Below are 22,975 nucleotides of genomic sequence, written 5' to 3'. Positions count from 1 at the left end.
ACTGGGAAGCCTGAACTTAGTCTTTGATGTGTTTTACTGAGGTTTGTTCTAAAAGTCCACAACAGGAATTAATTTCTGGCCCACCAACCTAAACAATTGCCAAGTTTCACAGAGCCTTCCATTCCCAAATGGAAATGACGTCCCAGTTACATAAGAGTAATTAACCCAGTCACATCTTTGATAACTATGTGGTTTTCCCTAAAATCATAGTGCGCTTTTATTTTGAAACAATATGCAGCATGACTAATAGACCTATAAACTGAGAAAACCTTGGCTTTGAGTTAAGGAATGGCGTTTCTGATCGTTATCAGCTCTTTGTGACATCCTACACCCATGTGGTCTATGACATGCCTTTAGAATGGACTTTTGTGTTGTTCTGTCACTCATAGTAACTGTATTTCCAATGAGTATAAGATACAACCATGTGTGCCAATTGACAGGATATTCCAGTAGCTCTGAGAAAGAGAGATGACTCAATGTCTCTAAGCCAAACCCAGTTAATTGGCTTCCAACATGAGAAACAGAAGAAAGAATTGAGGTTCCAGGTGTCTAGGAAAATATGTAGTTTACTTGGCAAAGTACTAATTTGACACTGAAGAGGAGGAAAATCCTAGAGTCACCTCTTCCCTGAGTTTCTGGCTAACCTTTGGAAAGTCACTAAGATTCTGTGCCTACCTGGTTCTGGCATTGAAATAAGTGACAAATCTATTCTCCCTCTATATATGCTCTATGTTCCACCAAGCACCGAGGGATGTGTGGCCATCTCTTCACTTCTTTCTATAATCCACCCCAAAGCAGCTGACAGGATACTTTAGGAGACAATCTCCTTTTCCTAGTCAATAGTTAGTGCTTCTGCTCCAGTAAGCATGTGGGAAATCCTTGGGACACATTGCTGTGATCTCAGGAAAATATCCAAGGTCCATAAGTGGTTTGTATGAAAGAGGGACATCTTCCACTCCAACTACAGGACAGGAGAAAGGGTGTGAGCACTCTGCCCTCCTGCTCACCTTGCCTATGCAATAAACTCCTCTCTACAAGTAACAAACACTCTGCTCGAACCTCCTAATTTGGAGAAACAGACTGATTATACGTGCAGAGCTCCAGGCTCCTTCGAAAATACATAAAGGGCCAGGTGTGGTGGCTCACGCCTGTAATCCCAGCACTTTGGGAAGCTGAGACAGGTGGATCACTTGTGGTCAGGAGTTCAACACCAGCCTGGCCAACATGGCAAAACCCCATCTCTCCTACAAATACAAAAATTAGCTGGGTGTGGTGGTGCAGGCCTGTAATCCCAGCTACTCCGGAGGCTGAGGCAGGAGAATCGCTTGAACCGGGAGGCGGAGGTTGCAGTGAGCCAAGATCACGCCACTGTACTCCAGCCTGGGGAATAGAGAGCGAGACTCAGTTTAAAAAAAAAAAAATACATAAAGTGAAAATTCTTTGAATGAGGGGTTTCACAGGTTCCCAGAATGACGTGATTTTATAGCCCATCTTTCCCTTTATAGTGTGGATTCTTTGACAGAGCCAGACCTCCTCAGGAGGACATGACCGACAGGGAACAGCTGACAAATGACAAGACCCCTGAGGCATGACAAGAAAAAAAAAGAAGACCAAAGACCTCAAACACTGGTCCTGTTCAAAGAAAAAGAAAGAACATGAGGGTTAAAAATCAAAGCTTTCTGATACCTGACAGTGACCCAGGAAATGGAGGGGACCCTGGAAACATCACCTCATCTACACCGCACTTTGGAGAAATTGTCCTGGGTGCCCAGTGAGCCCTGTTGGAAAAGGAAACACCAAAGCTGGAGAAGCCATCAGCAATTGTGGAAGATTTTCTTTTGCTTTAATCGTTCTGTACTTGGCAGACACTTTGAAATGCGTATGGGAACGTAAGTTGCAGTCCAGATCAATCCAGCATAAGTTGCAGAGATGAAATGTCTGAATCACTATAGAATTTACAAGGTGAACTAAGGTGAAATGACTGATTTACTATAGAACTTAGAACTAAGACCACACCATCCAACACTACTGTATCCAATGGAACATTTGACACCTCCCTATGGAAAAGAAACATTTCTAAGGACATTATGGCTCAGGGAGACAAGCAATATGTTGTTGGTACTGTGAAAGTACTTTTGAAAGGACAAAAATAATCTTGTGAGTGAGGGTGAGAGTTTATTTATTTATTTTCCATGTCTCTAGGTTGAGAATCTGTCATCTAGAGAATTTGGAAATTAAGATTTGGTTAGCTAGTTTTCAAAATCACTCACTCAGTTTCCTCCTAAGAACCACTGTGTGCAGATAACTCATTTAGCAGAGCTTCTTCAGAATTTAGACAGTGCTAAGGAAAGGAAGATTGGCATTAGGAATCAGTTCTATTTAATACCTTGCTGCCTTCCATCTGAAATTCCTTTCACTCACATTATCCAGGGACTCACATCTGCTTAATTTAGCTTTGCAAGATGTTGCATTTATATTTCCTTGTATATCTTTCCATTGACTTAGTTAATACATGAATTTCGAGGTACTCTCTACCTTTGGAGTGTTTAAAAGTCATGGTAAAATGTCTAGAGTTCATTAATTAAAAAGCAATTTAACATTATGGGTAAACATTATTTTTAATATCTATAAGAAGCAACACTTCTTATAGATATTTAGCTTGGGATTAAATACCCGTTTTTCCTGCTATGCCTTGTACTTGTATACACAGAGAAAACATGTTGAATATAACTTAGACAAAAACATAAAATTATACAGGCATGAGCCAAACTGGGAAAACTGATTCCTAAAGATTTTTATTTAAAATTGCTTATTCCAACTTTATTACTTATTTTTACTGCTAATCTTTATAATATGTAACTTTGGAGAATAATCTTTTATTTAAGCTATTTTCCCATCATCTTGAATTTAACCATCACAAATTTTTTATGTTTAAAACTCTTGTAAATAATTCATAATCTTGTAATATTATCATTTTTGAAGTAAAATTGACCAGCCAAATTTATAGGTAGTCTGCACAATTTTGTATCCTTTTTTAATAATGAAAAATTACTATGAAGAAATACTGAACAAATTTTTATGTGCAATATTTTATAGACCTATGTATCTGAAGCATGTTTACACTGGCGTTTTTTTTTTTAATTAATTTCCTAAATGTTAAGTATGATAGAACAAGCTGACCCAAATCCTTAAGTTTACAAAGCTGTTGGAAAACTTTGTGTCCTGATTTCAACAATCACGCTTTGTTTGAAAGATGAGCCAAGCTCACAGACACTAAATTTTATGTCATGCCATAAGCTGGAGAGGAGCCATTTGGCTACAGCTGCGGAACTTCATTGAGGAGCAAATGAAAGGCACATGGACGAGCACGCTGGTGCAGTTCATGTTCTTCCTGCCTGTGAATTGAATACTGTCCTGGTAGCAGTTTCGGGTCGGTCAGGAGCTCAAGGCTGGTTTGTGTGGCTGACTACGGATGAGCACTGAAGTTGCCTCAAAGAATTAAGGGGTGTCCACACCAGCCTCTGGGGGTCTTTGGTGTTAGTCTTCCAGGTAGAGCTGGTTTTACAAGTAGGTGGCCATCTACAGGATGTGATGTGAGCGATGCCAGACAGCTCTCTCTGACCCCAGGTAATGCCCTGAATCTGGTGATCCTGGCTGATCTGTGACCAATAGAGATTAGCTCCTTGGGATTTGGGGTCCTAAAAGGTCCCTGAAAAAATGCACCCCTTGTCTTTAAGCCAACATTGGTGAAGGAACTGAGAACTCTTAGGGTTACATAAAAAAAGACCCCTGTTGAGATAGTTTATGCAGATACCTGGAAGGAACTAGAGATGCCAGGAGGAAGACTGAGACCCAGAATGAAGCAAGGCATGAGGGCTCCAAAGTGAACTGCACCATCCCAGAGTCTCAGCCAAGATGGCCCTTTCCTAGAGGGACGGGCACCTTCCACCTGCCCACAGGCACTGCTACCTATGGGAATTGCAGAAGGCCGTTGTACACACGCGCATGCACGCAGTGGCCCTCTGCCCTTTAGAATATGGAAGCAAAGTCTGGGTGCAGTGACTCACACTTGTAATCCCAACACTTTGGGAGGCCGAGACGGGCAGATCACCTGAGTTCAGGAGTTCAAGACCAGCCTGGCCAACGTGGCAAAACCCCATCTCTACTAAAAATACAAAAATTAGCTGGGCGTGGTGGCAGTCTCCTGTAATCCCAGCTACCTAGGAGGCTGAGGCAGAGAGAGAATCGCTTGAACCCAGGAGGCGGAGGTTGCAGTGAGCTGAGATCGCGCGACTGCACTCCAGCCTGGGCGACAGAGGGAAACTCTGTCTCAACAAAAAAATAAATAAAATAAAAAATAAAAAAAGAATATGGAAGCAAATGGAGAAAGGGAGGAAACTGAGGTCAGGCAAACCTTCCAGCAATCCGTTCTGCCCAGAGAACATACTGACGACAGAGAACACACTGAGCGTTATCTGCTTCTAGTTAGAGCATTGCCGATTGCCTTCATAATTCATAATGTGCTGTGCTCCTCTGAGGGTCTATCTGTATTTCTCTTCAAAGAATTCCCTTTTTAAATTCTTGCAGCTGGGTTTTAAGACACAATAATGGGGCAAATTAAGTTTTATAAACTTGGAGATTTTTATACAGTAAATAAAAAAATAATATGTACTAGTCACCCCTGAAACTGCATTCTTAGAACTCGACTCTTGTTTTATTTAAATACGTGCGTAGATATCTGTGAAGATTTTCATGTACCTATTTACCTTGTCACTAATAAAATTAAAACTGAAAGACTTGATGGCATACTTTCGGTTTATTTCACATGAGACATAACTTTCCCTATTGTGGCCAGACATCAGAGGTTTCTGTCTCTACATCTTAATTCCTTATTAGAAAAACATTTAACATCGGGAGAAATTTAATAGAGCAAAAATGCAAAGCTCCCTGGGAGGATGAAAATGTTCTACTTAGATTTCAGTGATGTTTGTATTAAACTCCGTGAGTGGCCGGGCACGGTGGCTCACACCTGTATTCCCAGCACTTTGGGAGGCCGAGGCAGCGAATCATGAGGTCAGGAGTTCGAGACCAGCCTGACCATGGTGAAACCCCTCTCTACTAAAAATACAAAAATTAGCCGAGCATGGTAGTGCACATCTGTAATCCCAGCTACTCAGGAGGCTGAGGCAGGAGAATTGCTAGAACCCAGGAGGTGGAGGTTGCAATGAGCCGAGATCATACCACTGCACTCCAGCCTGGGCAACAGAGTGAGACTCCGTCTCAAAAAAACAAAACAAAACAAAACAACACAACTCCGTGAGTATAGTAAAAATTATTAAAGTGTATATTTTAAATGAACATGTTTAAGGTATGAGAATTACATCTCAATAAAGACATTAAGAATTTTTAAGTACCTTCTAGTACCTCCACTCTTATACAAGTGATTTCTCCACTGTAGATACATGTTAGCTCCTTTACAAAGCCTTCCCTTCATCTTTGCCTAACTGTACTCCATTCGCGTTTTGTGAATTTCCGTACTTTTCCATTTCTTCCCACGGCCACCTTCCGGCTGAGTGACCCCTCAATGAGAGCAGAAACCACATCATTTCCTCAGTATGTTTCGTATACCTGGCCAACACCTGTTATATAATCAGTGATCAAAACAATTGCTAGAATGAATGCATGAGTATATATACACGCATAGTCATAGTCATATGAACATGTGCTTTTGTCATTCCCTTTCATTACTAAGCACCAGCTACAGACAAATGTGTGTGCATCCTCCTATTTACAATGTTCATACAATGCGATTGTAATAGTAAATGTTCTGTTCAGTTAGTGAACCATGGTTCATTTAACCATCCCCCTCTTATTGGGAATAGCTGTTCACAGCTTCTTATATTAAGAACAGCATTACAAGTCCAGCACAGTGGCTCTGGCCTTAATCCCACTGCTGTGGGAGGCCGAGGCGGGCAGATTGCTTGAGTCCAGGAGTTTGAGACCAGCCTGGGGAACATGCCGAAACCCAGTCTCTACAAAAAATACAAAACATTAGCAGGGCGTGGTGGTGCATGCCTATAATTCCAGCTACTCAGGAGGCTGAGGTGGGAGGATAGCTTGAGCCCAAGAGTTTGAGGTTGCAGTGAGCCCCACTGCACCCCAGCCTGGGTGACAGTGTGAGACGGCCTCAAAAAAAAAAAGAAGAAGAATGGCATTAAATTGAATACTTTCGTTCTTACATACTTAGGGTTTCTTTTTTGTTTATTCCAATGAATGAATTTCTCAAGAATGAGATTGCTTGGTCAAAGTATATGAAGAGTTTTGTAGCTCTCGATAACATGTTGCTCTTAAAAGGACTAAGTTAGTTTGCATTAACCTAAGTGTACCATTTCCTTCTAATTATTTCAGCATGGTTTAAATAGTTTGGTAATTGTTTTCAAATGTTACCTTATATTAATTTATATTTTATTAGAATTTAGTAAATTTAATGTACACATTTAATTTTGAGTTCTAGTATTTATCAGCCACTCAATATAAACCAATTTATTGCTCATAACCCATAAGATATTTAAATACTTGCCACTTCTCTGGCATTCATGAATCCCAGTGAGAACAACTTATCTGGGTGTTTACCCTGTGCCCCACAGCAAGCAGTAGGATGAATCCTTCACTTTGTATTATATACCACTCGCACTTCAAAACCTACACCTGGCCAGGCACAGTGGCTGTAATCCTGTACTCCCAACACTTTGGGAGACTGAGGTGGGAGGAATGCTCGAGGCCATGAGTTTGAGAGCAGCCTGGGCAAAATGGTGAGCCCCCATCTCTACCAGAAAAAAAACATTTAAAATTAGCCTAGTGTGGTGGTGCATACCTGTAGTCCCAGCTACTCAGGAGGCTCAGGTAGGAGGATTGCTTGAGCCCGTGAGTTTGAGGTTGCAGTGAGCTAGGATCACTCCACTCTCAGTTCACTGCAACCTCCACCTCCCAGGTTCAAGCAATTCTCATGTCTCAGCTCCAGAGTAGCTGGGACTACAGGCACATGCTACCATGCCCAGCTAATTTTTTGTATTTTTAGCAGAGACAGGGTTTCGCCATGTTGGCCAGGCTGGTCTCAAACCCCTGGCCTCAAGTGATCCACCCACCTTAGCTTCCCAAAGTGCTGGGATTACAGGCGTGAGCCACCACGCCTGGCCTGATGCGGAAGAGCAAAGCACTCAATCCAGTATAAATCAGCCTGTGTGGGGCAAGATCTGCCTGAGACATACACAAAAAGGCTCCATCTTGGCCAGTCCCACTGATTAAAGCCTGTACATATTCATCGCAAAAAAGAAGAGGAACTCCTATGAGGTCTTTCATCATAGTCAAATGCTCTGCAGCTGGACAAATGAGGTGGGAGCTCAGTCTTCTCAACGAATTCTGTTGATTTCTTTGCCACTTCCCGTCATTTTATATGTAGACGCTTAACTGTGGCAATACTTCCTAAATGTTGAGTTGAGATTTGGGTTCCTAGACTGGGTGAAATGGACCTTGCAGAATTCTAACAAGGTAGAATTCTCTTGTGGATTGCACACTTCCTCTGAAAAAGTTGCATCATCCTCACAGGTTACCTGTAGAGGAAAGAGCATTCATTCTGGTGCCCACAGAAAGATCTAGAGCATGAAAACCTTTGGTTGATGTCCATAAATGCTAAAACAGTACCTCCCTAGGGTCTAATGTTCTTTTTCCCAAATATAGCAGACTTTCTACTCCAGAACTCTGATTACATTAAAATGTTGATTTCTTTAGCATGAGAAATTTAAAGCATTGAAACTTTAGGCTCATTTTGGGAGCCAAGTAAGACGATAAATGCCCCGGTGACACATAAGTCAATGGCACATTCAGGATGGCCAGCGTGTATTAGGTATAACTCTGCTTGCCATTTTAAATTCTCCCGACCCCCCAAATATCATCTACCTTTGGAATTACTTACGAGCAAGTTATCCATTATTTGTGATTACGGGCCAAAATCCATAAAGAAATGTAGCCTGACACCAGGACCTCCTGACAATAAAAAGTCTTGGATTTAACTTTTTTTTTTTTTTTTGAGACGGAGTCTTGCTCCGTCACCCAGGCTGGAATGTAGTGGCTTGCATGATCTCGGCTCACTGCAACCTCCGCCTCGTGGATTCAAGCAATTCTCCTTCCTCAGCCCCCTTAGTAGCTGGGATTACAGGCATGCACAAACATACCCGGCTAATTATTTTATTTTTAGAAGAGACGGGGTTTCACCATGTTAGCTAGGCTGGTCTCGAACTCCTGACCTCAGGTGATCCACACACCTCGACCTCCCAAAGTGCTGGGATTACAGGTGTGAGCCACTGTGCCCGACCGGATTTAACTTCTATTGGTGCCATGATATGACACAGTAGAAATGGCTCCTCATATTTCTGTGCTGTGGCTTGCTTTGATTGTGGATTGCATTGTAGAAACAACTAAGTCATTAGTAAATTGTTCTGCTAGCCAATCTTTGGGTGGGATTGATTTTTAAGCAGTAACAGTGGACTTTCCTGGATTTAAAGTTTTGTATTTCCACTTTCATTCACTTCATTGATTGAAAGGTACATGTATAACTATAATTTTTATTTCCATAAGGGTTTTTAATTTTTCAAAACTCCATAGTTTTCTTCCGTATTAGTTTTCTAGGGCTCCAAGTTCCACAAACTGGATGGCTTGAAACAACAGAAATGTATTGTCTCACAGTTCTGGACACCAGAAGCCCAAAATCAAGGTACTGGGGGAGCTGTGTTCTCTCTGAAGGCACTAGGGAAGCATCTGTTTCCAGGCATCTCTCCCAGCTTCTGGGAGTCTCAGGTGTTCCTTGGCTTGTAAACGCAGTACATGGATACTCCCTCATCACACCGTGTTCCCATGTGTCCTCACGTCATCTTCCCTCTGTGAGGACCTGGATCCATGTTTCCCCGTTTTATAAGGACATATAAATCATATTAAATTATGGTCAGCCCTAAATTTTCTCATTTCAACTTGATTACTTCTGTAAAGACCCTCTTTCCAAATGAGGTCCCATTCTGAGATACCAGAGGGTAGGACTTCAACATATCTTTTGGAGGGGACACAATTCAACTCATAACATCCCCCTAAAAGTGTATATTCTAGGTCGGACATGGCGATTCCTGCCTATAATCCCAGAACTTTGGGAGACTGAGCTGGGAGGATCACCTGAGCCCAGGAGTTCAAGGCTGCAGTGAGCTATGATTGCACCACCGCACTCCAGCCTGGGCAACAGAGCAAGACCCTGTTTCTAACAATAAAAATAAAATTCCTAAGTATGTGAATTAAGGATAGGATGAAGATTTTAAAGAGGATATCTTTACATCAGTCTATTGATTTCTACTCACCCAGGTAATATGCTTGTGTTTGCTGAGTGCATAATAGATTTATACATGTTTATGTTTTCCCTTCACTTACTACCTGTATGCACATATTACAAGATTAAGGCGGTTGCATTTTTCATATAATTTACTCATCTGCTTTGTCTTGCTTTGCAATTTCTTACTACCAGCAGCCATATTCTCTTTCTCCATTTCTCTTGTCCCTTGAAATAATCATTTTATTCTCACGGGCAATAGGCATAAATATGAGTTTTATGATATATGTGAGTAGATTCCTCGCTGGTTATAACCCAAAGGGTGCTGGTCACTGAGTTAGTGGGAAGCAGAGAGGAAGTCCCTGTATTTGGGCTGTAGGGCTTGGTCCCTAGCCCACTATTAACACAGAGAAGACATTGTTTAAATCTCCAGTGACCCAGTGGTGGAAAAAACAGTTGCCACAGTGGGTGACAGAATAAAGAAAATAAAGATAATGAACATTCTCTGGGCATATATTTGTATGTGGCACTGGGCCACACACTTGTGGTAGAAGTGAATTTACCAAGCATAAATAGGCAGGGCCCTTGGTGCCACTGGTGAGAGTGAACTGTGCCTGCCCACAGACATCGCCATGGTCTCACAGGTTGGGCAATTGGCTTGCAGGTCCCCTAAGCTACCCTTTTCTCTTGCTTCCACCCCACCTATCTGCTCTTCCCACTGCCTTCTTTCCCAGTATTGATTGGGGAATTTCCATTGATTTATATGTAAGGAGTGGCTCCAGCTCCAGGTGGAGGGCACTGAATATTTCCCTTTGGCCAGTGGCCTCTCACCCCACACTCAGGTCAAGGAGTTTCTCTGGGCCCGTGAGCCCCAGGCATCAGTGATACTGGCTGCATTTCATCATTGAGAGAAAAACAACAAAAATAGGAGATGCCTCAACCACACCATGCAGGGAATAGCTGAGTCACCTGGGGTTGATTAACCTGAAGAGGAGAATGTCTGGGGGAAACACTGACCCAGGTCTCTAACGGACTGTTCTGAGGAAGAGGAAGTAAAGTAGGAAGGAGTTGAGGATGGCATCATAAAAGCAACATTAATAGCAATAAGAATGAAAATGCGGCCAGGCACGGTGGCTCACACCTGTAATCCCAGCACTTTGGGAGGCTGAGGCGAGTGGATCACAAGGTCAGGAAATCAAAACCATCCTGGCTAACAAGGTGAAACCCCATCTCTACTAAAAATACAAAATATTAGCCGGGCGTGGTGGCGGGCGCCTGTAGTCTCAGCTACTCGGGAGGCTGAGACAGGAGAATGGCCTGAACCCGGGAGGCGAGCTTGCAGTGAGTCGAGATTGCGCCACTGCACTCCAGCCTGGGTGACAGAGCAAGACTCCGTCTCAAAAAAAAAAAAAAACAAAAAAAAACAAAAAGAAGCGGAAGAATGAAAATGCATTAGGCATCCACTCTGTATGAAGCCCTCCACTAAGTAGTTTATGTGCATCTTCCATTTAATCCTTAACACAACCATACAAGACAGATACTGCCCAAGAAAAATTTATTCTGACACTTATTAAGATGGTAAGGCAGATTTTATTCAGGACCATCACCGTAGGTGTAGGGGCCATGGCAATGGGGTTTTGTAATAGGTAAAAAGATTGGGCTCAACTTTGAATACAGCAAGGAAAAGTGGGGATTATAGACAAAGAGTAGGGTGGGGGTTGGTGGATGGAAAATCACAAAGAGGAAACCTCAGGGTCAGGGGTGATTCCTGCTAAGGCTGAGGCAGTCAAAGGTAATCAGACATCACCTGGGGCATGGTGACGGGGGAGGAATTTGGTCAGATGTAAACGATGGGAGCTCTTTCCAAATGAACTTAGGATTCTTGCTAAAATGGGATACTACAAGGACAAAGATGAAAGCCCAGGTTTGGCTCTGGTCGAGGAGAGGGCTCAGAGGAGCCTGACAAAAGTTTGTCCAAGGAAAGAATTTTTGCCAATATGGAATTGATCCCTGTTTTGCTGATGAATCGCAGGCTAGACAGAATACGTAGCTTCCTCTGATGGTTTGCCCCATAGCAAATGGCAGAACTGACATTCAAATCTAGGTCTGCCTAATTCCAGAGACCAGGATCCTACAAGCTGCCACAGGTAACAAATATGGAGAATTCCCACTCGACTCATGTTGAAAGCAGGGGAAGAACCGTTTAAAATAATGAGGTTGAAATGGTTTGCCACGACCTCGATGATCCCTTTTAAATTCTCCCAAAATCAGAGAATAAAAGGAGCTAAGATCTGCGAAGGGCTCCTAGATACAAAAGTACAAAGCTGAATCCTTCCTTTAGTTTACAAAGAGTTGGGAATGAGAACCACAGACATTTTGTCCCCCTCTATTTTCAAAATTCTATTTAGATTCATGCACATGATTAAACATTCTCAACATTCTCCGACACCTAAAAACTTTGATATATGCTGATATGGTTTGGCTGTGTCCCCACCCAAATCTGATCTTGCATTGTAGCTCCCATAATTTCCATGCGTCGTGGGGGGGACCCAGTGGGAGGCAGGTCTTTCCCCTGTTGTTCTCATGATAGCAAGTAAGTTTCATGAGATCTGAAGGTTTTGTAAAGGGGAGTTCTCTAGCACATGCTCTCTTTGCCTGCCACCATGTGTAATACGTGACTGTGCTCCTCATTCACCTTCTGCCATGATTGTGAGGCCTCCCCAGCCATGTCTGTGAGTCAATTAAACCTCTTTCCTTTATAAATTACCCAATCTCGGATATGTCTTTATTAGCAGCGTGAGAACAGGCTAATACCTATGCTATTTAATTTTCAACATATCTCCATAGAGAAACTGGTGCTTTAGGTCATCTGCTAAGGTTGGAACTGACTCCCAAGGCCGTGGGATTTCAGAATTTTAGAACAGTGTATTTAAAATCATTTTCCTTACACCAAAAAGCTACTTCTTAGAAGCCTAAATGGCAGAAAAAACTTCATTTGTCAAATCAAAAAATCTTGCCTTTCTCTGTTTCATTTTAGGAAACTACAACCTCATATAACTAACTGGGATGCAATGGCCCCAAACAATTGCTGTCTAAAGATCTCCTTACTTAGGGGATTAATCTAATAGTTTTTTTAGTCTTCTTTAAACTAGAAACTATTAAGGATTAACCCAGACAAATAGAATTCAAATTTAGTCCTTAACCTAGGAGGTCTGTTAATTTGCATCAACAGCAATCTCTGTTCATATGTAATTCAGGTTATGTGATGTTGAAACGTTATACATTTGTTTTGAATCAAGATGCTGTGTGTAGAATTAGAAGAATGGATTTCTTCTAACTCCCCTGTAGGGTGGAGAGAGGGAAAAGATAATCATCGTTTCTGGCTTGAATACTGGGTCAGAGAAAGAAAGGTGATGGTGTGGTTTTGCCTGTTGTGGGATGTGAAGCCATCTTGGGACTGACAGCATTTCATTATGGTTGGACAGAAAGAGAGGGAAATACAGACAATATTCTTCTTTCTCTTTATGAAGACCTGACTGTCTTAAGAATTAATATTTATCCTTAGGACTTTAGAGGAATATGTGTGAAGGGTGTGTGTGTGTGTGTGTGTGTGTGAGAGAGAGAGAGAGAGAGAGAGTGAGAGAGATAATATGTATGTGGAGAAAGAAAAAGTTTGTGATGCATGCTCATGGAAAAACCTCAAAGATGTCACATGGGAAGTCAAAACGTACCATCAAGCATCCTAAGGAACATTCTACCAGCCTAAATGCTCAGGTGTGAGGAAATGTAGAGCTTTGGAGAGGAATGGACTGACTCTAAGGAGAGGTCTGGTGAGAGAGGAGGGAGTTTCCCTCAATGCAGATGAAAGTTACAGCATGGAGACTGAAAAAAGGCAGGTTTATACAGGGACAGAGTCAAGGACAGGGGAGCCATGAAGAAGAGAAATCCCTGCAAAGAGCTTCAACCCGTGGACAATGGGGAAGTCATACGTAGCATGAAGGTTAGAACTTTTTTCCTCGTGTGTTGCAATGCCTTTCAACGATCTCATTTAGGAGAACTGGATATACCCTTAAATGGTAGGTTGTATTAGCAGCCCCAATCCTTCACTTTCCCCTTTATCTAAGCCCTTGGCCACATGGCTTTGCTGTTCCTCCCATCAAAAGACCAACTAGCTTTCCCTGACCCTTGCTTCTGAGTTCAGCCACATGGCATGCTCTGGCCAGTGGGATATTAGCAAATGGAAAGCAAATATGTTGGAAAAAGCACATGCACAATGAAACCTGGTCTCCTTCACCTCTACTGTCACCATGAGAAGGATACGCCAGGGCTATGCTGCTTGTCCTAGGAGGAGAATAAAAGTTAGAGGTACAAGGAGCAGAGCCACCTCCTCCCAAGTCCAGTATAGATCAGCTGATCCCCTGGCAGCCTGTAGACTCCACATGAGTTATCATGATTTTTAAAATCTGGTCTTTCTGACCCATCTCTGTTAGGTATTTTTTTCGTCAAAATACCATTACCCTTATATGTTCATCCCAGGGTCAGGAGATAAAGCCCACTCTATCAAGTACTTATCACTGAACTTGCAATTCAGTCTCTCCCACTTTTGAGTTCACATAAGAAAAAAAAAAAAAAACCTCCTTTAATAGTTTCACTCAAGACAAAAATTATGAGGAGGTGGGAGGAATGAAGGGTTACATCTGGAGAGAGTTAAGTTGTGTGGCCGCAAAAGCAGCTGAGAAGATGTCATGCGGTGATTTCCCTCGTGTGACCATTTTGCTTTCGCTTGGAAATGGGCATGTTTTCTAACGGTTGTGGGTTTTATTGAGACAGAAGGAAAACACTGTGTGTTCAGAGAGGAAATTCGACAGTTTATTTAGGCTGTTAAACCACTTTTGCCCTAAATTTATTGACCAGGAAGATCCTGTTAACTAAAATTGGGAGATCTTAAGGAAACCCTAAATCTTGTATAGCAGTTACCGGGTACACACAGAGCTTTTGATGAGATTTCATGGAGAATATCTTTTAAAGGGTTTGAAAATGTAAGTCTTCATATATCATTCCCCTGTGGTGTCTGCTCTGATAATCCAGGCTGATGTCATAAAGAGACGGTGACTAACAGCCTTGAGTGTTGCCAGCGACTATCATCCCCCAGCCTCCGTGCCTTTATTAAAATCATCAGAATTTGTCATTCTTTCTCTCTCATCTGTCTACCTGCACCATTTGATTAATGATAAATAATACTTCTGGCACATAAAATCATTTTGATTTAATACTCCCATCAGAGTATAAAATAGTATTAAATTCCCATCAGAGTATAAAATAGTATTTTGTCTATGCTAAAACATGACCTGCTATGCAAATCACTGCCCCCAGTTGCTTCAGAGAAAAAAAAAAATGCTAAAATGTTTTAAACTCTTTTTTAGGCTTGACCAAAGATTGTTTAGGGACAGTCTTTTATTTAGAAATAAGTTAGGATTGCCTGTAATCCCAGCACTTAGGGAGGCTGAGGTGGGAGGATGACTTGAGCCCATGAGTTCGAGACCAGCCTGGGCAACATAGCAAGACCCCCATCTCTATTAAAATTTTTTTTTTAATTTCTAAATGTAATAAGTCAGACTCCAAGAAGCCAATGGCTATCTGTTTTGCCTCTTCCCCAGTTCCACACAGGATTCAGCTCAGCCGGCCATTCGGTCGTTCTGGAAATAGTCTCATCTCTTGGCTTTTACATCAGCACATTCACCTTCTGCTCACCATTCTGCCTGGGTCTCTTTGTTGGTCTCCTTCTCCACTGGTCGGTTTCCAAATGTGAAGCTCTGTCATGCTCCATCCTAGGCTCTCTCATTGACTATGTTTACACTCTGTCTGCATCACCACCGCAGGTCCGTGGACTTAGATACCATCTCGATGACAATGACTCCAATTCTCTACCTCCAGTCATGCCACGGTAGGTACATCTGTCACCCCACTGTCCCCTCAACATCTGCACTTGGACATTTTTTTTTTTGACAGTCTTGCTCTGTTGCCCAGGCTGGAGTGCAGTGGCATAATCTCGGCTCACTGCAACCTCTACCTTACGGGTTCAAGTGATTCTCCTGACTCAGCCTCCCAAGTAGCTGGGATTACAGGCACCCACCACCATGCCTGTCTAATTTTTGTATTTTCAGTAGAGATGGATTTCACCACATTGGCCAGGCTGGTCTTGAACTCCTGACCTCAGGTGATCCACCTGCCTTGGCCTCGGCTGGGATTATAGGCATAAGCCACTGCACCTGGCCAGCATTTTAGATTTTACATATTCAAAGTATACTATGAAATTATCTTATTCACTTTATGTTTGTTTCGACCCTCACCCCAACAGCAAGGACCATGCCTATTGTTTTCACCACAGTTTCCTCAGCAAGTAAATCATTATTTTGCACATACTAAGGAGTTCAACAAATATCTGTAAACTGAATAAATATTTTTGTAAAAAAGAACATCTTCTACTTTTTTTTGAAACAGAGTCTCGCTCTGTAGCCCAGGCTGGAGTGCAGTGGCGAGATCTCTGCTCACTGCAACCTCTGCCTCTCAGGCTCAAGCAATCCTCCTGTCTCAGCCTCTTGAGTAGCTGGGACTACAGACATCCACCACCACACCCGGCTAACTTTTCTATTTTTACTACAGACGGTGTTTCACCATGTTGGCCAGGCTGGTCTCGAACTCCTGACCTCAAATGATCTGCCCATCTCAGCCTCCCAAAGTGCTGGGATTACAGGCATGAGCCACCGTGCCCAGCCACAAACATCTTCAATAAGTCAAATAGTGTATGATTCCACTTATATGAAATACCTAGAGTGGTCAAATTCATAGAGACAGAAAAAGAAAGTGGTAGTTACCAGGTGCTGGGAGAGGGAGAATAGGAAGTTAGTGTTCAGTACGTGCAGAATTTCAGTTGAGGATGATGAAAAATTTCTGGAGGTGGATGGTGATGATAGTTGCCCAGCAGTGCCGGTGTACTTAATGCCATTGAACTGTGAAGTTAAACATGGATTAAAATGGTAAATGTTATATATTTTTTACCACAATTTTAAAAAAGCTTCATCAGTATTGAAAATCTGCTGAGGCAAATAAATCTCTTCATTGGTGACATCCACAAAGATCACAGAAAACTCCTTAATAGCTCCAATAATTTTGCTACCTCATCACCAAAATAGACCTTGATCCAATGGACATGACCATGGGTTGCCATAAAAATTATATCGGCAGGACTTTCAAGGTATTAATAATTTTTAAGTTCTTCAACAAATTGCTAGCCTTCCGAATTAATGTTAGGTTACTAGGCATCTATTTTTCAGACTAAATATTCTAGTCAATCACTCTTTAATTTTAATTTTCTCAATCACTTTTCATCTTTTCTTGCTAATTTTGTAGATTGCAAGGGCATGAACTTGTCACACATTGTAGGATTCTCTTTCTCCTTCAGAATCATGCCAGCTCCCTAATGATTCATCCAGTATGTGTGCGCAACTTTGGTCCTTTTCTCACCATTTTCTTGCAGTTTTTTTTTCTCGAGAATATTCTTGCACCATAAATGCATGCCTTTCCTCACTAGTGTTTTGAGCATGTCAGGATTGATAATGTCCCAACACACCTGAAAATGAAGCCAGAGTGGAAGAAACACAATTAGACAAACGATCAAAGCGAGACTCGCAACATCTGTGGCTGCACGGATGAGTCGATGTATTCTGGAAGGACAAACTGGTGGCCTGGAGCCACAGTGAAGCCGATGAGCATGGCTTTTGTTGTTTGTTTAGGATTTATTTCACCCACATAGTATTTTTTTTTATTTTAATTTGAATCCTATAGGTAAAGCTTCAGAGCTGTAGATAAACGTGTGGATTTCTGGCCTCTGCTGGAAACCTAAAAGATCAGCAATGGAGTTTACATTCTACTAGAACAAGCACTGGTCCTGAGTGGCAGGGGACCTAGACAGGCGTGGGCTTTCTGATCAACCACAGTCCCCATCCAACCCACTTCACTCGTTACCTGCCTGGCCATGGTGGGCGCTTGAATTGGTGAGTCTGGCCTTTGTAAGGGAATGACAGCCTTAAACCTAGAATGAAGTCTCCTACAAGAGGCTCCCACACACACAATCAGAGAGAAAATGTTACTCTTTGATGCTGAATAACTCAGTGATGAGATAAGCCTCAACTGAGAAAAGCCACTGGTGTGTCAAAATGCAAGTTGGTGAGTTTCAAAGAAATAGATTAGTTAAATATTGAGAAAATCAAGCGAAATTATTTAGTGAAGACAAATCATTAGAAAATTTATTGCATTTTAAAAATGACCTCCTGGTAATACTTAAAACTTTTCATAGCTAATGTTTTCAAATGATGAAGGTTTCATTATGCTAAGCAAGATTATAATGTGGAACATTCAAAGACAGAATTAAGATGTGTTGCAGCATACTTCCATCACAGGGTACTGTCTTTCTAATACAGTCTTGATGTTAATAGTCATGTAATGTCAAGCAGACAACCTGACTCTATAGAGCTATAACTGATGCTGTTAGGGTTGGAAGTATTTAACAGAGGTTTTTACAAAGATGAAAAAGTAACTGAGAATGGCTATGATGAGAATATATACAGTGTATTATATACATATATATCTACAAACACACATTGTATTAGTCCATTATCACATTGCTTTAAGGAAATACCTGAGACTGGGTAATTTATAAAGAAGAGAGGTTTCATCGCCTCAACGGTTCTGCAGGCTGTGCAGGAAGCATAGTGGCATCTGCTTCTGGGAGACCTCAAGAAGCTTCCAATCATGGTGGAAGGTGAAGGAGGAGCAGGCGCATCACATGGTGAAAGGAGGAGCAAGAGAGAAAGAGGGCTAGGGGCCACAGTTTTAAACAGCCAGATCTTGTGAGAAGTCACTCACTATTGTGAGGACAGTACCAAGAGGATAATGCTCAATCATTCATGAGAAATCCACCCCGTGATCCAATCACCTCCCATCAGGCCCCACCTCCAACATGGGGGATTACAATTTGACACGAGATTTGGGTGGGGTAAATATCCAAAGTATATCACACGTACACGTAAACATGAACTATAAAAGACATAGAGTTATTTCTATCACTTTCCTATGCCTCCTCACTAAAACTTGATGATATAATTGGAAAAGCAAAAGTAACTGGCTCATGCAGAAAAAGGAATTTATTGACTCATGTAATAGTAAAATTCAAGAGCGGCTTGGTCCGAAGACCCAATCTGTCGCCCTCTCTTGGCTCTGAGCTCCTCCATGTTGCCTTCAGTTTTAGGCTCTCCATGATGGTGGGACGGTTCCCACATCTCCAGAGTTCAAGCCTACAAGCCTTGCTCCCCAGGATCCCAGAGAAAAACACTTTTACTTTTAAAGGACACAAATCTGACCAACCCTTAACTAACAACTTTGACCAGGCAAATACAACATTCCCAAGGGCCACGTCTGAATCACATGCTCACATCCAATATGAAGAAGGAAACTGACTTTACACAAAGTACCTGCAGGGCTGAAAAAGGGAGTTCCCCAAAGAATAATGAGGGCACTGTTCACAGGAGACAGGTGAAAACTAACAAATATCTACTACATAGAGGGATTACTATTACTGCTATAACAAATCACCACAAAGGTCGTGACTTTAGACAACACAGATTTATTATCTCCTGGCTCTACAGGTCAGAAGTCCTCAATGGGTTTCACTGGGCTACAGTCAAGATGTTCGCAGAACTGGGTTCCTTCTGGAAGCTCCAGAGGACAGCTGTTTCCTTGCCTTTCCACCATCCAGGGGCTGCCCGGATTCCTTGGCTTGTAGCCTCTTCCTTCATTTTCAAAGCCAGCAAACCTTCAAATTTCTCTCTGACTCTGACTCCCTCTTCTGCCTCCCTTGGTTAATTTAAAGGACTTTTATGATTACATTGGGCTTATCAGGAAAATCCAGGATAAACTCCTTAATGTAAGATCAGCTAATTAGCAACCTTAGTTCCATCTGAAACTTTAATTCCCCCTTTACACAGATATCTTTAGCAGGCTATTATTTTGCCTACCACAAGGTGTGAACTGAATTAATTACCTTCTGTAATCTCAGGGTGATCTAACTAACCCTACAGCGTGTGCTCAGGATTCCTTCATTTTTTCAGAGTCTTTTGTGCTAAATCCTTTCTTGTGAATTCATTCACTCATTCATTTAATAAATAGCCATTGAGTAACTACCACAGGCCAAGCACTGCTTAGGAACTAAACATAGACTGGTAAAGAAGATGTTCCCTGCTCTTACAGAGTTTACAATTTCGTGGATGAACAAACTACAAATAAGCTAACCAGGAACTAATATTTAAATACTTCATTATTATTTATTTCTATGGAGGCTTTATTTTTCTCCTAATTGGCTTGACAAATATTGGCTGTGTCTTGGAAATTCTATTGCTCTTTGTTCTTCTAACTGAACTCTCTGTACATTCCCTGCAGGTGATCAGGACACTGAAGGAGGAGACGGCCTTCACTAAGACCTGATGGATGGGAAATGGCACCTTCTGCCTAGAGTCCAGCAGGAAGACATTTCCATGGCGCAGAATCAGGTGTCTCATGACTCTCCACATAAACCCCTAAACGACAACACCGCCCCTGTCCCACGCTCCCCGCCTCCCACCAGAGCAGCCGATCAAGGGTATTTACATTTTGTTTTTTGTTTTTGTGTTTTTTTGAGATGGAGTCTTGCTCTGTCACCCAGGCTGGAGTTCAGTGGCACAATCTCGATTCATTGCAACCTCTGCCTCCTGGGTTCAAGTGATTTTCCTGCCTCAGCCTCCCGAGTAGCTGGGATTACAGGCATGCATCACCACGCCCAGCTAATTTTTGTATTTTTAGTAGAGACGGGGTTTCACCAGTTGGCCAGCTGGTCTCGAACTCCTGACCTCAAGTGATCCACCTGCCTCGGCCTCCCAAAGTGCTAGGATTACAGACATGAACCACTGCACCTGGCCGGTATTTACATTTTAATCACTTCCTGCTAAGTTCATGGCAGTTGAATCAGTAGGAAGTACCAAACTGCCCAAAACAAATTAGAGGGAGAAATGGACAGTTTTTATAAGTCAGTTAAATGAGAAATAAGGAGATAACCACAATTGTGTAGGACGGATTTCCACTCCTTAACTATTATCCACCTATAATTAATATACCATAATAGAAGGTGCACTAAGTTGCTAATTCAACCTTTCTACTGTTTTATCTTGGCCAGGTCTACAGCATGGTGTCTTGATTTATAGGAGGTAGATAAAAATATGGCCATCCTTCACACGGCTGTAACGAGGCTATTTTTAAAAGAATTTAAAGCATGGGGCAAATCTTAGGACCCGGGTCAAAGGGTTTTGTATACAATCACTAAAAATTCTTCCAAAGCTTCTGTAGTTTAAGCCACATTTTATTCTTGTTATCGCACTAGAATCATAGGTTCCTGAAACACAGGACATTGAAAAACTTCTTTTAATTATGTGTTGACAGTAGCGCCATCCACTCCCTCCTTCTCCAAGATTCTTTCTTCTTCCCCCAACAGAAATAACACAAATATTCATCCTGGGAGATCATGTCATGTTCTAACACATGGCCACAAACTTTAAATCTCAGCTAAACACTCCAGAGTGTCAAAACAACTAGCAATTGCTGAAACAATTAACTTCCTCCCCAAATGGGTGAAAAAATTAGAGTGGCCATGAATGATAGATTTCATTCAGTATGTCCTTATTCACAGATTTTTGGCTAAATTGATATCAAATTCTATGGTATGTGTCAGGCTTGCCGGCTTTCCTTCCATATGAAACCTTGTCGTTTCACATTTCATTCATTTCATTCCTGCAGGACACTTAGAGAACATTCAAAAGATTGGACTGACATGAGTTAAAAGAAGGATTATTTACAGAGGACAAATCTGTGGCCAGTCAGAGAAAGAGCAAGTGGAATCAACACTCTGACCTTTCTCTCATTCTGTCTTCTGGTCTCCCACCAATACCTGTCATTGGTCAGACTCAAGCAGATGACAGAGGCCAACACAGGCCAACGTAGTCAGATGCCTGGTGCACAGAACAGAGTATGTGCAATGGTCAACCGGGTGTGGGGTGGAAGCCATTCACCAGCTCAGCAACATTGACTTTTCCTCCCCAAGACTGACCAGGCTACCACCACTGCAGAGTGCCCACCCAGCCAACAGAGACCAAGCAAGCCTCTGGCATGGCAACATTCCAGAGGGGGACCAGCCAGCCTGTAGGTAGACACTATACATTGGGTGCCTCTTTCATAGAGTGGGTAGAGTTCTATTCCACACTACACACAAAAATGGATTCTAAATGGATTAAACAGTGGGGAAATGCAACATAGGTAGTAAAATGAAAAGAATTTGTTCATAAATAAACTTAAGACAGAGAAGGCCTCCTTTGGAAAAGACATGACATTCGGAAGCTTTGAAGAGAAAGATTGATAGATTTTACTATTCAAAAATTTCAAACTTGCAGCCAGGAGCAGTGTGTCAGGCCTGTAATCCAAGTACTTTAGGAGGCTGAGGCAGGAGGGTTGTTTGTGGTCAGGAGCTCAAGATAAGCCTGGACAACATAACAAGAACCCATCTTTAAAAAAAAAAAAAAAAAAATTTCCTGTTATAGTGCTGCACACCTGTTATCCCAGCTACTCAGGAGGCTGAGGCAGGAGGATTGCTTGAGTCCAGAAGTTGGAGGCTATGGTGAGCTATGAACATACCACTGCACTGTAGCCTGGGCAACAGAGACAGACCCTGTTTCAAATATATATATATGCTTAAACTTAAACTTGATTAATACTAAAGGCAGCACAAAGTTGAAAACAAACAGCAGATAGGAAGATATTTACAACAAGTAACAATAATACAATAACTGCTTCAAATGCTGCTAATTATGTGCCAGATGCCAACCTAATGTGTCCTTATTCATTTACTCCTACAACAGGGTGAAGTAGACACTATTATTATCCTTCTCACTTTTCAGGCTAGGAAACTGAGATACAGAGAGATTGAGTCACTTGGCCAAGATCACACAGCTAGTAAGTGGCACAGCCAAGATTAGAATCCAGACAGCCTCACTTCATGGACTGTGCTCATAACCCATACCCGATGCCACCTCTCATTTTTCTGGGGGGTTGGGTGAATGGAGTCTCACTCTGTTGCCCGGGCTGGAGTGCAGTGGCTCGATCTTGGCTTCCTACAACCTCTGCCTCCCAGTTTCAAGCCATCCTTCTGCCTCAGACTCCTGAGTAGTAGGTACTACAGGTGTGAGCCACCACACCCAGAATTTTTGTATTTTTAGTGGAGACAGGGTTTCACCGTGTTGGCTAGCCTGGTCTCAAACTCCTGACCTCAAGTGATCTGCTCCCCTCAGCCTCCCAAAGAGCTGGGATTACAGGCATGAGCCACCACTCTTGGCCCTCTCTCATTTTTTTTAATGCTACCTAAAAGAGACCATGAATTTTTATCCACAATATATAAAGAAATCCCAAAATCAATAAGAAAAAACAAAGAACTCAATAGAAAACTCAGCAAAGATTCTTACTGGACAATTCACA

The 22,975-nt window shown here is 42.1% G+C and overlaps 1 protein-coding gene across 2 annotated transcripts in view, besides 1 other annotated feature; it reads left to right on the top strand.

Annotated features, from left to right (window-relative positions):
* The window catches only part of ITGA8 (integrin subunit alpha 8), a 205,969-nt gene extending 201,173 nt beyond the window's left edge, over positions 1–4,796 (top strand). For both annotated transcript variants that reach the window (NM_001291494.2, NM_003638.3), the window contains one exon: positions 1,506–4,796. In NM_001291494.2, the coding sequence (NP_001278423.1) occupies positions 1,506–1,592 (87 nt within the window). In that variant the 3' untranslated portion in view covers positions 1,593–4,796. The remainder of the gene's footprint in view (positions 1–1,505) is intronic.
* Positions 21,874–22,074: a silencer, noted in NCBI's record as "peak875 fragment used in MPRA reporter construct". NCBI's record gives its function as "represses an SCP1 promoter by STARR-seq MPRAs in K562 erythroleukemia cells {active_cell/tissue: K562}" and the evidence as "EXISTENCE:reporter gene assay evidence [ECO:0000049][PMID:32103011]".

This window comes from Homo sapiens, chromosome 10 (genome assembly GCF_000001405.40).
Source record: "Homo sapiens chromosome 10, GRCh38.p14 Primary Assembly".
Lineage (NCBI taxonomy): Eukaryota > Metazoa > Chordata > Mammalia > Primates > Hominidae > Homo > Homo sapiens.
Note: the sequence above shows the minus strand (reverse complement) of the source record. Positions and strands in the feature narration are given on the sequence as shown.